Source organism: Homo sapiens, chromosome 4 (assembly GCF_000001405.40).
Source record: "Homo sapiens chromosome 4, GRCh38.p14 Primary Assembly".
Classification (NCBI taxonomy): Eukaryota; Metazoa; Chordata; class Mammalia; order Primates; family Hominidae; genus Homo; species Homo sapiens.
The window spans coordinates 112,227,709-112,242,156 of NC_000004.12; the positions used below are offsets into that span (position 1 = coordinate 112,227,709).

The 14,448-nt window shown below is 40.5% G+C and overlaps 1 protein-coding gene and 1 long non-coding RNA gene across 5 annotated transcripts in view, besides 5 other annotated features; one reads left to right on the forward strand and one right to left on the reverse strand.

Annotated features, from left to right (window-relative positions):
* Positions 1–1,852: 1,852 nt before the first annotated feature.
* Positions 1,853–4,442, reverse strand: AP1AR-DT (AP1AR divergent transcript). Its single transcript, NR_186684.1, has one exon. It is a non-coding gene; the product is annotated as an AP1AR divergent transcript (long non-coding RNA).
* Positions 3,852–4,799: an enhancer, noted in NCBI's record as "NANOG-H3K27ac-H3K4me1 hESC enhancer chr4:113152716-113153663 (GRCh37/hg19 assembly coordinates)". NCBI's record gives its function as "activates a minimal SCP1, AML or CMV promoter by ChIP-STARR-seq in primed H9 embryonic stem cells {active_cell/tissue: H9 hESC(primed)}" and the evidence as "EXISTENCE:reporter gene assay evidence [ECO:0000049][PMID:30033119]".
* Positions 3,904–4,183: a silencer, noted in NCBI's record as "silent region_15634". NCBI's record gives its function as "represses an Ori minimal core promoter by ATAC-STARR-seq in GM12878 lymphoblastoid cells {active_cell/tissue: GM12878}" and the evidence as "EXISTENCE:reporter gene assay evidence [ECO:0000049][PMID:35858748]".
* Positions 4,079–14,448, forward strand: part of AP1AR (adaptor related protein complex 1 associated regulatory protein) — a 41,324-nt gene continuing 30,954 nt past the window's right edge. For 3 of the 4 annotated variants that reach the window (NR_136622.2, NM_018569.6, NM_001128426.3), the window contains exon 1: positions 4,079–4,466. Coding sequence is in view for 2 of the 4 variants with exons in the window: in NM_018569.6 (NP_061039.3) it covers positions 4,384–4,466 (83 nt within the window). In the remaining 2 variants the exon portion in view is untranslated. Of the gene's footprint in view, positions 4,467–4,567; positions 4,665–14,448 lie in introns of those variants that run through there. The other variant, XM_017008380.2, reaches the window with a different exon arrangement.
* Positions 4,344–4,613: a silencer, noted in NCBI's record as "silent region_15635". NCBI's record gives its function as "represses an Ori minimal core promoter by ATAC-STARR-seq in GM12878 lymphoblastoid cells {active_cell/tissue: GM12878}" and the evidence as "EXISTENCE:reporter gene assay evidence [ECO:0000049][PMID:35858748]".
* Positions 4,824–4,873: an enhancer, noted in NCBI's record as "active region_21821". NCBI's record gives its function as "activates an Ori minimal core promoter by ATAC-STARR-seq in GM12878 lymphoblastoid cells {active_cell/tissue: GM12878}" and the evidence as "EXISTENCE:reporter gene assay evidence [ECO:0000049][PMID:35858748]".
* Positions 7,407–7,456: a silencer, noted in NCBI's record as "silent region_15636". NCBI's record gives its function as "represses an Ori minimal core promoter by ATAC-STARR-seq in GM12878 lymphoblastoid cells {active_cell/tissue: GM12878}" and the evidence as "EXISTENCE:reporter gene assay evidence [ECO:0000049][PMID:35858748]".

Here is a 14,448-nt window from a genome sequence, read left to right on the forward strand (position 1 = left end):
AACTTGTATTTTAGGTTCAGGAATACATGTGCAGGTTCGTTATATGGATAAACTCATATCACAGGGATTTGTTGTGCAGATTATTTCGTCACCCAGGTATTAAGCCTAGTACCCAAGAGAATTTTGAAAAGGATGGGGAAGAAGGTGAGAAGTTCTGCTACCTGTAAGCAGGTGGGATGTCTCTAGCAAGCTGACAGTAATCACTGTAGATAGTCTTTCTTTTTTGAGACAAGGTCTGGCTTGTCACCCAGGCTGGAGGGCAGTGGTTAGATCTCGGCTCATTGCAGCCTTGACTTTCTGAGCTCAAGCAATTCTCCCACCTCAGCCTCCTGAGTAGCTGAGAATACAGGCACATGCCGCCACACCTATTTTTTGTAGAGACAGGCTCTTGCCATGTTGCCAAGGCTGGTCTCGAACTCCTGGACTCAAGCCATCTGCCCACCTCAGCCTCCGAAAATTCTGGGATTACAGGCGTAAGCCACTGTGCTTGGTCCCACTGTAGATAATCTAAGTGTTTGTGTATCTTACTGACAAGTTAAATATTCTGCGTAGCCAACTGTCATATAAATGAACTTTTTGAAATGATGAGGTCTTGCTATGTTCCCCAGGCTGAACGCAAACTCCTGGGCTCAAACCATCCTCCTACCTCCACCTTCTGAGTAGCTGGGACTACAGTTACGTGCCACCACACCCAGCTCTAAATGAACTCTCTAGCAATGATGAATTAAACTTATAAATCTTATCAGAATACATGTGACTATGGTCGTTACTGATTTTATACCCATGTCCAAATGTAAGAGTCGAGGAAGCAGTACTGAAGCATGGCAGAAGGCACAAGTCTGTCAGGAGGCCTGAGATTTCTTCATATTATACTTTTAATTCATTGTATGACCTTGAGCAAATCATTTAATTCCTCAAAGACTACTCTTTCTCAACCATAAAATGAAGTTTATCTGCCTCTCAAACATCCATTCCAGTTACGGGTTTTTTCCCTGCTAATTCTGTTTAACTAAAAGCAGATCATCACTTAACTGAATGTTTAAAAAGTCTTAAAACTTACCATGAAGATTCTTGATGTCAAATTTGGTGAAAAATTGCACAATGATAAATTCCAATAACCTCTAAGATTAGCTTGGTAATTTATTTAATACATTTGTAGAAAAAAAATTAAGTAGCTCCCCTGAATTTATTATAATCTACCCATATTCAAGTTATCATTACTTTCGGAGACAGCCAAATGCCTAGGCAGACAAAAAGGGGTCCCCAGAAAAATCTCCCACCTGCCCCACAAGTGTTCACATCAGATGCTTTTGTGCAGATGAGGGAACCTGCCCAGTGCCTTGTGTGAACATGCCCATATGCGCACTGGGGGAATGGGGTGGAACCAGGGCAGGGGAAGGAGGCTGGCCTCTTCAGTTCCTATGTGGTGGCTTGGGATTCAATCTGTGAGGTGCCTTTTCAGTCCCTGTGCAGTAGCCTGGGATTCAGTCTATGAGGTGGGGGCCTGATAACAGGACTCTATCTCGCTTTGGTGAGTTTTTTCTTTTTCCTTTTGCCCAATAAAATCCTGCTCTACTCACCCTTCAATGTGTCCACGTGTCTAAGTTTTCCTTGTCATGTGACAAGAACCTGGTTTTAGCTGAACTGCGGGGCAAAATTCTGCATTTCTAAATGCTTGCATTTGTGATCAAACTCTAATTGAACTGGTTATCAACCTTTTCTACTGAAGGGTCAGATTTAAACATTTTTTTCTGATTACAGAAGTATTAAATAATAATTGTCAAAATTGAGAAAATAGAGAAGAGAAATAAAGCTCCCAACATTCACAGTCTTGAAATAATTACTGTTAGCATTTTGATATTTACCATCCAGCCTTTATTTTCAAGAAACACGTGTAAGAAAGAATGTAAGAATGTATATGTTTTGTTTTAAACATCATTTGGAACATACATATAATTTTCTATCCTGATTTTTCACACATTATTCAGCAAGCATTTTTCCATATTGTTTTAAAAAATATATTTATTATGTCTATATAACAAGAATACACCAGCAAATTTAATCATCCTTCAATTTTTGAGCATTTAGTTTGTTTCTGGCTCTTGGTATTTCCAAATAATTTCTCAGAATGAGTTTCATTATCTGCAGCAGTTTAGAATAGTACCATTTCATTGTATCCTTGCAAATACTGAATATTTCTAACTGTAAAGCTTTGTTAACTTGACAAGTGAATCAATACAAATGACTAAAACATGCATTTTAATTTGCATTATTTTGCTTAGTGAAGTTTTTAAATGTCTTATTCATTTGTATTGCTTCTGAGGATCATTCATATCCTTAACTGAGAGAACAGATTTACTATAAAAAAATTATTTTTAAGTGAGATTCAGTTTTAATAACGGTTTATAGAATGTCTATAGGAAGTGCTGTCAAGTCTATAGCTGCATTTTTTTAATCAAACTTTTTATATTGAGACAATTGTGTCACATGCAGTTTTAAGAAATAATATACAGATGACCGTGTATATCTTTAATCTAGTTTCCCCCAGTGGTGACATGTTACAAAACTATTGCAATATCACAACCAGAATACTGACATTAATATAGACAAGATGCAGGATTTCCATTCCCTGACCCATGGCAATCAATTATTCTGTTGTCCACTTACATAAATTTATCAATTCTGAGATGTTACATAATGGAATTACACAGTATATAAGCATTTGAGATTGGCTTTTTCTTTAACCATAATTTCCTACAGATTCATTTCAGGGTGTGTTCATCAATACTGTGTTCCTATTTGTTACTAAATATTCCATAGGATAGATGTACCAGTTTCTGTAAACATTTATAGTTGAATTTTAATGATTATTTCATTAATACATTTGTCTAATTTCAGGGGTTGGAAGGAGAAAAGAAAATGCTTTCACTAGGAAGTCATTCGGTCATCCCAACATTCACTGAAAGCAAACCATTGGGACAAATGTTATCCTATGCTTCTGATTACAAAACAACTAAAACCCAAATAAAATAAACATTAGTAAGTAGCAGTGCTAAGATTGAAACCAGATACGTATTTAAAGAAGCAAGAAAATGAGTTCAGAGAACATTTTATCATCAATAAAAACTTTCTAAAATGTAACAATTTTTCTAGGTTTAATTAAACAGGCTAAAAACTTGATGTGTCCAGTCCATGAGAGCATCCTCCTATCCACTGGACGAGGTGTCTACTAAACCACATCTTATATCTATTGTGAGGCCAACTGTCTTGAGGCCAAACAAGACGCGAATTATATGGTAGCACTTGAGAGGGCTGCGGACACATTAGAGCAGCTTTCTCTTCCCATCTACAGCAGTTCTGGGCAGCATGCTTGGAATGGCAACGCTGACGTCCCCGAAAAACCCCAGCCCTCTTGCCAATTTCCTCTGAACCCCAACTACCCAACCCAAAATTATGTGAAGATCTGATTTTCAAACAAAACGAGGACAATAATGCACCATTATTACGTTTCCCTAAAACATTAACAGTATGGAAATTAAGACACAAACCAGAGACCGGAAAAAAATCTTGGTGCGTTCAAAGTAACCTCAATCAGTTCCCGAGTCTATTTTCCGCTTATGGTGCAGTATTAACAAAAACTAAGCACACCGTGCAGAGAAACGCCCCTTCGCACTTATGACTTCCGGCCTGGGACTCTGGCTCCTCACACGCCTTTGATACAAAGTTCGAAGGCTGAGCCTTAGCCATGCCACGCCCAGCGTGCTCCGGACGAGGATGCCCGAAACTGCAATGAGAGAGGGAAATTTCCTAGTCAGGTCAAGGTCCAACAAAACAAACGTCCGCACGCAGGAATTGAACCGTCTCGCAGGCAGAGGCGGCTGAACCAGGAGCGAGCGGAAGTGACGCACAGGCCGGTCGCCAGAGAAGGCGGGGCACCGAGGTAGCGCGCCCAATTGGGGCGCGGGAGAGGCCGGGGGTGTGGCAGCGTTGGCGGCGAGCAGGGGCCTGGGCGCGCTGGGGGCGGGGCCAGGGTGCTCGGCTCGCGGGGACTGGCCTCCTTCGGCAGCTGGAGGCGGTCACTCACGCTGGGCTAGGAGCTGAGGCGAGAAGGGCCATGCGGACGGCGAGGGAGTCCAGAGCCTTGAGCCCGGTGCTCCTCCCTCGCGCAGCGGTGGCTCTGCGGCCGCTGGAGTAAACACTGCCTTTGTTCCCTAGCGCCTCGTCTTTCGTCGCCCCGTGCCCTCACGCCGCCGGGCTCTGGCCGGCCCGCCCTCGGTCCTTGAACCCCATTTCGGCTCGTGCCGTGCGGATGCAGCTGCCGGGCCTGGGTTTGGGCATTGAGCGGGAGGAGGAGGAGGAGCGGCGGCGCCTGGGCGGCATGCGATGGGGAACTGCTGCTGGACGCAGTGCTTCGGACTGCTTCGCAAGGAAGCGGGGCGGCTGCAGCGAGTAGGCGGCGGCGGAGGGTAAGCCCGCTGGGGGAGGGGCCCGGCCCCCGTGGCTCCTCCTCTTCGGCCCCCGGCGGGGAATCCCTTTCACCGTCCCCCGGCGGCTGGAGGTGGCGGTCGAGAGCCCTGCTACACTCACTGCTTAGCAGACGTCAGACTGGTGGTCGTCTTGGAGGCCCAGTCTGGGGTCCGGTCTTGGGGCCTCCTCGGAAAGAGGTAGAAGAGGGGGCGGGGTGTCCCTCCTGCCAGGGCGCCCTGTCACGCGGGGAAGGAGTCACGGGAGACATCATCTCCAGGAAACAAGGGGTAGCTTCGCGCTAATGGGCTGTAGGACCGGCTCCACGGCAACCTGGACACACCCTGCGCTGAGCTTAGGTTTAACGCCAAAGCTAGTATCCCTGTATCTGACCCTCTCTTTAGCCCTGGCAGAGCAGGTGGGATCTGGCTCCGGAGTTAATGCCTCAGATTGATTTTAAGTAGAAGTCATTTGGATGCTGGAGTAAAATAAGGTTCCAGATACTGATGAACTCTGGTAGCTACAAAGACTTGCTGAATTGCAGAGTTCCCAATGGGCATTCAGATTCTTGGTGCTCATAACTACAGGGACAATGTGTAATTTTTTCGTATTAAGTTTTTGAAATTTCGAGAGGAATTCCTTGCCCTGATTGCTACTCAAACGTCCTGTAACATTAGGTAAATTGCAGTCCTTCTGAACTTCACTTCTCTTGAGTAAACCTGGGATATTGCTTAGGTTTTGTATATGCACCATCCACAGAATAGTAATTTCATAATTCCGTTTTTGTGTTTTTTTATTTCATATATATTGAAAAAATTAGAGCAAATTCCTTTGGGGTTGGCTTTGTTGTTATTAAATGTCCCTCCGGAATTCAAACCTAGAATTGAAAATCTGAACCAAGCCAGTTTGTGTAAGGACTAAGACTGTTTTGCACTTTCTGAAACAGATTGCTAATTTTTCATAATCTGTTCCATTTAACTAACATTATTGGGTAATAAGATGTTCAACATAAATAAATTGCAGTAAATGATCATAATTTGAATCTTTGGTAATGGAGATCTTATAAAATATAGGATTCTCATTCATTAATTAGGCATTGTGTCACCTCTCTGATACAAAATAGCTAAGGTTTTACACTAAGTATCCCTAGAATGGAAGGGCAAGGATTTGCAGTTTGTGCCTAGTGTAATATTTCGATTTCCCTAATTTATGAGTTATTACTCTTGAGTGGGACATGACAGTTGTTTTATCTTGTCATCCAGGATCATCTGGTTTAAGTATTTATAATTTTTGTGTGTGAATGAAACTTACAAGGTCAAGCTGCTTAAGTAGGCTTGCCCAATAACTAGATGCCACACAATCTTTGGCTTTTACTATTATTTGTAGTTGTGTTACAGGGCGTTAAATTCTAACTCCAAGAAAGTTGGTTGGTGAGGGAGCAGTACTTACATTCTAAATGGATAAGCAAAAAACTTTATATTTGACTTTGGACTACATGATGTGTCTGTGGACTTTAGTTTTGTTTTTTTCATGGGGTCTCCGTAGAGTACGGCATTAAAATTGTAGGTTCTACTCCCTCAGCTCGTGAGCTTGGCAGCACAGGGAGGTGGCAGGAGGAAATCCATGAATCAGCGTGAGTGTTAATTGTCTGTAGATATGCCATAAAAACATAAGCAGGTGGAGTATTTCTTTCTTTTTTTTTGAGACGGAGTCTCGCTCTGTCGCCCAGGCTGGAGTGCAGTGGCGCGCGATCTCGGCTCACTGCAACCTTCGCCTCCCGGGTTCACGCCATTCTCCTGCCTCAGCCTCCTGAGTAGCTGGGACTGCAGGCGCCCGCCACCATGCCCGGCTAATTTTTTTGTATTTTTAGTAGAGACCGGGTTTCACCCTGTTAGCCAGAATGGTCTTGATCTCCTGACCTCATGATTCGCCAGCCTTGGCCTCCCAAAGTGCTGGGATTACAGGCATGAGCCACCGCGCCCGGCCAGCAGGTTGAGTATTTCTTATCTGAAATACTTGCTTTGGAGTTCAGATTTTTATTCAGATTTTGGAATATATGCATTATATACTGGTGTAGTATCTGAAAATCTGAAATCCAGAATTCTCCAATGAACATTTTCTTTGAGTAACATGTTGGCACTCAAAAAGTTTCAGATTTTGGAACATTTCAGATTTTGGGTTTTGGGGTTAGGTATACTCAACTTGTGGTTGGATTTTTACTGTTTGTGGGCAAAGCTCTTTGAACAAGTCCTGTGGAGGCAGTGAGAGTTTATAGGTTGTGGACACTGTCATCTAAAATTATATAATGGTGATATTGATCCTATTACTTTAAGTCTATAAACAGGATTTGACGGTTCCCTTACTTGAATTTTCTGATTAACTTATTGTTTAACATCAATTTTAATACTGTTTTAGCAGCTTCCAGTAAGCATGTAGAGACAGATGGATATAGTTACTTGTGCAATAAGGTTAAACTCTTATTTTAGTTTTTTTTTTTTTTTATCAGCTGTTTTGATTTTCTTTCAAGTATAGGTCTGGATAGTTAGTAGTTCTTCTAAAGGTGAAAAAGTTGAGGAGTAATCACAAAAACTTGATTTGATCCTATATGTCTTTGTAGTGACCACAAAAGAAGAGGGTGTCCTCAACTTTTTTAGCTTGATTTAAGCTAGACTTCACAGGGAAGCCTTATGATCTAAGGCCTGGTTTCTGAGTCTTGCAGATTGACATACCCCTGAGAAATCTGAAAATCAGATCACTCGTTTTTTACTATTTTAATCTCAAAACCAGAATTACCACTTTTTCCAGTTTATAAAATACTAGGGAATTCTAGTATTGTATATTCTAGGATATCTGTTTCACCAGTCAAAATATCAATATCAGTGTTGACGTATGTTGGAAACCCTACTACTAATGAAGTCATTTGGTGATTAAAGCAGAGAGAATTAAATATCTTTAAGGAATAAAACTTAGGCATCCTAATGAGTCATACTTCTTCACTGGAGTTTTGCCTGCCAACACTTTCTACAGGGCTCCATCTGCTGGTCAGTTCTCCTGTTTCTCTGAGCAGGCCTTTGTATAGACTTAGTTTTTTCTTTCTCAGATAGAAGACCCAATTAAGTTTTGTTGTGTTGTATTTAATTCCTATTTCTATATTACTGTATAATTCCACATAGTGATTCCACTTAAGATAAACTAGTTTTTATAGAAAGGTAAACCATATTTTGTATCCTCATCAATATGTAACATTTGTTGGCCTTTTTGGCTCCAGCAGCCAAGTTGCTTTCAGGCAATAGTTCACAGTGATTTGCTTTTCCATTCCTAGTAAAAATGATTTTAATAATAACTGACAACATTCCGTTACTTCCTATGTGCCAGGCACTGTTCTAAGTACTTTATATTATCTCACTTATTCCTCCCCGCAATCCTGTGAGGCAAGTAAGTATATATATTATATATATTATAGGTTGAAAACTGAAACTTAGAAAGTTGAACTTTCCCAAGATAGCAGAGCTGGGATTGCAACCCAGGTCCCTCTGAATTCAGAGTTCTTATCCTTAACCACCACAAATAGTTCATGGCACTTTATTCTATAGGTAAACATTTGGTTGCTATCTCTCTCATTGCAGTATCTTGAACGTTGTCACCAGAAGAACTTATGAATATACCTGAACAACTTGACTCTTTATTCTGTGTGCTAAGCTGTCTTTTTCTTGAAACTATGCGCTTGACTTCCACAATATCACCTTTATCTTATTTTCCTGTTTCTCTCCTAGCTATTCTTACTCTGTCTATTAAATGTGGAGATTTTCTTGTCTTCTCTTTTTTAATTTCCTTCATATGTGTATTACCTGCCCCTGAAGAAATTTTACCCATTCCTATGATTTCAACCACCACTACTTCCAAATCTCATCTTCTGCTTGTAGATCTTTTCAGTTGTCTACCTAAGAGGCACTCTTGGATATATTCAATTAAATCTCTATATATTATTTTCAGTCTCTCCTTAAACATACTGAACCTGTTTTCTTCCTGTCTTCTGCCATAAACATTGCCTTTCAAACTGCTTAGTCAGCAGCTTCCAGACTACTCTCTCTATTGTAGCTCTCATACTTCAGCCCACCCTCCCTTCCTATCATGAGTTAGGCTTTCTAAAACCCGCATTGGATTGTTTCTTTCCTTTGCTCAGCAACTTCCATCTGCTCCCTGATTCCCATAGCTAAATTTCTAAGTCTTTTTTTTTTTTTCCCCCAAAAAGGAGTCTCGCTCTCTTGCCCAGGCTGAAATGCACTGGCACAATCCTGGCTCACTACAACCTCCACCGCCTGAGTTCAAGTGATTGTCTTGCCTCAGCTCCGCAAGTAGCTGGGATTACAGGCACCCACCACCATGCCTGGCTAATTTTTGTATTTTTAATAGAGACAGGATTTCACCATGTTGGCCTGGCTAGTCTCGAATTCCTGACCTGAAACGATCTGCCCACCTCGGCTTCCCAAAGTGCTAGAATTACAGGCACGAGCCACTGCGCCCGGCCCTAAATTTAAAAGTCTTTTTTCCTTCTGTGACAGCATGATGAATTACATGGCATTCAAATGTATGGCATACTGTCCCTTTGTATACTCAGGATGATATTTAGTTCTATATTTGGGTTTCTATAATCTCTTTGTCAAAAAATGTCAGGATACAAATCAGTGAGAAAAACATTAAAAGAATAACATTAAAGCTATTCTAATTTCAAAAAACGTGTCATTCATAAATCTTAGCATTTTAACTTTTTGATAACTTACTATCCTCCCAACTACTAGTTTAAACTTTGGACAAAGCAATGTAACCTTAACCTGTTTTTACCAGTGTTATTCTCTCCCATCCTCTCTCTTACCACTTTTAATATCCTATATACCAGATGGACTGTGCTTGTTCTTGTTTTCCTAAAATACAGTGTTTTCTTTTTGTTTCCCCAAGACGGAATCTTGCCCTGTTGCCCAAGCTGGAGTGCAGTGGTGTGATCTTGCTCACTGCAACCTCCGCCTCCCAGGTTCAAGCAATTCTCCTGCCTCAGCATCCCGAGTAGCTGGGATTACAGGTGTGTGCCACCACACCTGGCTAATTTTTGTATTTTTTAGTAGAGACGGGGTTTCGCCATGTTGGCCAGGCTGGTCTCGAACTCCTGACCTCGTGATCCCCCCGTCTCGGCCTCCTAAAGTGATGGGATTACAGGCGTGAGCCACTGCGCCTGGCCAAATACAGTGTTTTCTAACCCTGTGCCTTTGTGGGTGATATTTATTTTCTTTTTTATTTTTATTTTTTTTGAGACGAGGTCTCACTCTGTCACCCAGGCTGGAGTGCAGTGGTGTGATCTAGGCTTATTAAAACCTCCACCTCCCAGGCTCAAGCAATTCTACCTCAGCCTCCCAAGTAGCTGGGACTACAGGCGCAGGCCACCACGCTTGGCTAATTTTTGTATTTTTTGTAGAGACACGCAGGGTTTCACCATGTTGCCCATGCTGGTCTCGAACTCCTGAACTCAAGTGATCTGCATACCTCAGCCTCCCAAAGTGTTGGAATTACAGTTGTGAGCCACTGCGCCTGGCCTCTGTGATATTCCTTCTTTTTTTAGTTTTTTTGTGAGCTTTCACTTACCTTTACCTTACCTTACTTACCTTCCCTATGAAACCCGCTCCAAGCCCCTGAAACCATATTATCTCCCTGAGGAAATAATATTTTCTACAGGCTTATTTTTGCTCTATATCAAGGGTTGGCAAACTTTTTCTGTAATGGGCCAGATAATATGTATTTTAGGGTTGGCAGGTGGTATGGTCTGTCACAACTACTGAACTTGCCTGTTTTAGTGCAAGAGCAGCCATAGACAGCATTTCAACAAATGAGTGTGGCTATATTTCAATGCAACTTTATTTACAAAAATAGGCAGAGGGCCAGATTTGGCCAGTGGGCCATAGTTGCCAACTCCTGGTACCATATGTACCATGATGTACGCTAAGAGCTCCTCAAGGAGGTCAAGGACTGTGTTTTATCACTCTCTCCATTCTCAGTATCTTACATTTGTTGAATGAACAGCCAGAAGAGTTATTTGAACTTGCAGGATCTACAAAACTACAATTTCTCCTATCCTTCATTTTTTTAAGGCCTAAAGATAATTCCCTAACTTTGGCAAAAACACCACATACCCAGATACTTAAACACATATCCTACCAGTTTTATATTGACTCACTATTTTTTTTAAAGAGATCATATTGAGTACCTTTGAGAATTTTAAAAATATTTATTATAATATATATTGCTAAAATATAGAAATCAATAGTGTCAGCATTAGAAGATTTATTTTGGTTCTGCATGTTTTTCAGTTTTGAAAAAATATAAAAGTGTAAGATGTTTCTCTTGGAATTTCAGAAGATAGGAAGGAAAACAGTAGTGCATTTAAATGGATATGGATTTTTTAAACATTCTTTGTTAAACCTTAAAGACTCCTAAGACTCTGTTCTGAATATCATTCCATTTTTCCCTAATACATTTTTAGTCTTTAATGTACTTTTCCTGGGTAATGGTACTTCACCTACTACTTATATGCTAATAAGTTCAGTCATCTCAGTCTGAGCTCTGAAATATCTAATTGCTACTGTGTAGTTCCACTTATCTGTCAAACATAACTGTAAATTAATTGTGTAAAGCTGAATTCATCTTTGTTTCCTTCTCATAGCCCTTTCCTCCTTTTTCCTCTTTAAGCCCCAGCCTTTTCTACTACTTCGTTCCCTACCTTGTGAGTGGTATCTGTAGTCACCTAAGCCATGAAACTAAGAACCATATCAAGTTCTTTCCTGTTACTCACCCTTTAAACCCAGGTTATCAAGTCCCTGCCTTCTGAGTGGCCCCTACATGTTAGATCTTTCTAACATCTATATCCTCTCTGCCTTAAAACAGACCCTTCTGTCCTCTATATTTGTAGTTCTACCCTCCTGATACGCCCTTTTGAACTTGTGTCTCCCTAATCTGAAAACCAAAAGGAAAGCAACATGAAACCTTATGTAGACTCCAACATCTCCCTCTAGCTGTTACCCTGACTACCATGTCTCCCTCCAGCTATTAACCCTATCTCCTATCTTTTCTCTTAAATATGTTTCTTAGGAATTGTCTCGTCTTGCCTAGTCTTGATGTCTTCTTGAGAAGTGTTTCCTCACTTCTCACTCAGTCTTCAAAGTAACCTAATGTTCACCTTTCCTGCTGCTGCTCTCCTCTGCATATTCATTTTCTTCTCAGTCATGACATTTTGGAGTCCTTCAAAACTTCTGTTAGACTCTTCTCACACTATACTCTCCTTAAAGAGTGACATGCATATAGCTGCTAACCTAGGGGTTGTCTTTGACACTGTTCCCCATCATCCCATGTTTCCAGTCCATCCTCAAGACCAGATGATGTCTTTTTTATCTCTTAAATAACTTTTCAGTCCACCCACTTCTCTCGCTGCTGCCACATTAATCCAGGCTGTCGTCATTTGTTGCCTAGATTTCCAATAATTCTGTGTGTATTCCTCGTTCACCATTCTCTGACACTACTTTGTTTTCCTTCATGGCGCTTACCACTCCATGACTTTGTAGACTCCGAGCATTTGTTTGTCTGTTGACTGTTCTCCCTTAATAGAGTATAAATTTCATGTGGTCAGAGACTTTGTTTGTTCCTGTATCTCCAGTGTACCAGCGGTGCTTGCCACATAGTAGGTGCTCAATAAATATTTGTCGACTGAGTGAATAGACTATCAAGTGGGTCTACCCACATATATTCCTGACCTTTTCCAATTTATCCTGCACCCTGGAATCGAAGTGATCTTAAATGCACATCTGATACTCTGGTTTCTCTTCAGAGTCAATAGATCTTTTGCCTTTTAAATGCAAATCTGTGACACAAATACAACATAAATTCTGAAGTGGCTTACCAAACTTGTAGGATAAAGACTGAAATCTTAATGGAGCTTTCAAGGCTCTGTGTTTATCTTTTCCTTGCCTACCTCTTCTTTCTCCTTTTATTTTTTTATTTTTGCTTCATGTGTGTCACACTTTTCCTTGAATCTATTTCTTTCCTTTTTACTTAGATGACTCCTATTCACTCATCTTGTAGATGCCAGCTTAAGAATTCTTTCCTACAGAAGTCTTCCAAAACCATCTCCTACCCTCCAGAGGGTAAGTCTGCACATCATCATGGAACCATCTGCTTTTCTTCTGTGCATGTTCTTAGTTTATAGTCATACTGATATAGTGTGATTATTTGGTTAATGCTTGTCTGCTGCTCTCAATAAAAAGGAAGGAGTTTATGCCTGTTTTTCCATACCACTGAATGAATACCCAGCTCTCAGTTAAGTGCCTAGTACATATTACATGTTCAGTAAATACTTGTTGGCAGAATTAATGAATACAGTATCTTGAATATGTCAGGTTCTTTTCACTCCCCCTTGCCTTTGGTACCTGCCGCTCCCTGAAACATCTCTTTTATCTGCTTGGAGGCCTGGCTCATTCCTCGGCCTCAGGCTGATTTTTGATGACACCTCATCTGAACATATCCCCTCTCACAGCATAGTAGTTGTTAATTTACCTGTGTGTCTACCCTGTTAGATTATAAGCCTTTTGGATACATGGGTTTAAAATATTTCAAATGTATAGCTATGCGTGTTACTGTATTACATAGCTATGCCTGGCTATGCCTGTCACTCAGTAACTTACAGAAATAAAAAATTGGAAGATTCAGTGGCATAGATACATAAGTGGCAACAGTTTCCAAAAGAAGAGGGTTGTCAGTGATTTCAGATGCTGCACACAAATTGCAGAGGACAAATAGCAAAGAACTAAAAGACCTCTAAGGTCCCTTCTCATTATTAGTTTCCTTTAAATCAGGCTCTTAAAAGGCAATAACTGTTTTTTAAACCCTTGCATTATGTCTTTGACATGTTTGGAGGGAAGAATTTGTCTCCTCTCTGCCAAGGCATAAAATTAAGTTTTTGAACATATTCTTCGTAAACGTGTCTTTATTAGGAAGAAGCTTATTAAACAGTAAATATGATTATTATTACTACCTGTATTAGTCAGGGTTCTCCAGAGAAATGGAACCAGTAGGAGATATCTGTATTTCTATGTTTACATGTAGGTAGATATATATAAACAGATATAAAATGAGAACTGTCATAAGGAATTGCCTCATATGATTATGGAGATTAAGTCCCACAATCTGTTATTTGCAAGCTGGAGACCCAGGAAAGCTGGTCGTGTAAGTCTCAGTTCATGGGCGGAAGACCAGTGTCTCAGCTCAAGCAGTCAAGTAGAGAGAATTCAATTCAACCTTCCTTCAGCTTTTTTGTTCTGGTCAGGCCCTGAATGGATTAAATGATGGCAACCCACCCACCTTGGAAAGGGCAATTTGCTTTACTCAGTCCACCAATTCAAATGCGAGTCTGTTCTCTAACACCCTTGCAGATGCACCAGATATAATGTTTAGCCAGATATCTGGGCATCTGGTGACCCACTCATGTTAACGTATAAAATTAACCGTCACATCACCTTATGTCACTGCTATCCCTACCTGGAAAAATGTGTTGATTTTATCCCTTAAGATTTGAGTGGTTAAATCTCTATTGAAATATTTGATACTAATTGGAAAACAATGTTTCCATCATCTTTGTAATACTTTTTGCCAGGCATTAGATTTATAATCTTTCCAGTCTTCTGAAAAAAAAAATAGCATTCTTGGGAAGCTTTTAATTTTTAATAGACTTTGGAACAATTTACCATGATTCTTCATCATTTATTTATAGTGTCAAGCAAAACATACAGGGAAAGACTTTCTTATTTTATTCTGACAGATATAAAGAGGAATATGAAGAAAAGGTACAATATCAATGTAGAATTTGTGATAATTTTTCAGTTACCTTTTACTTAAGTCACTTTGATATGAGTATTTGCCTGCTATGCAAAACAAAGTGAGAAGCATAAA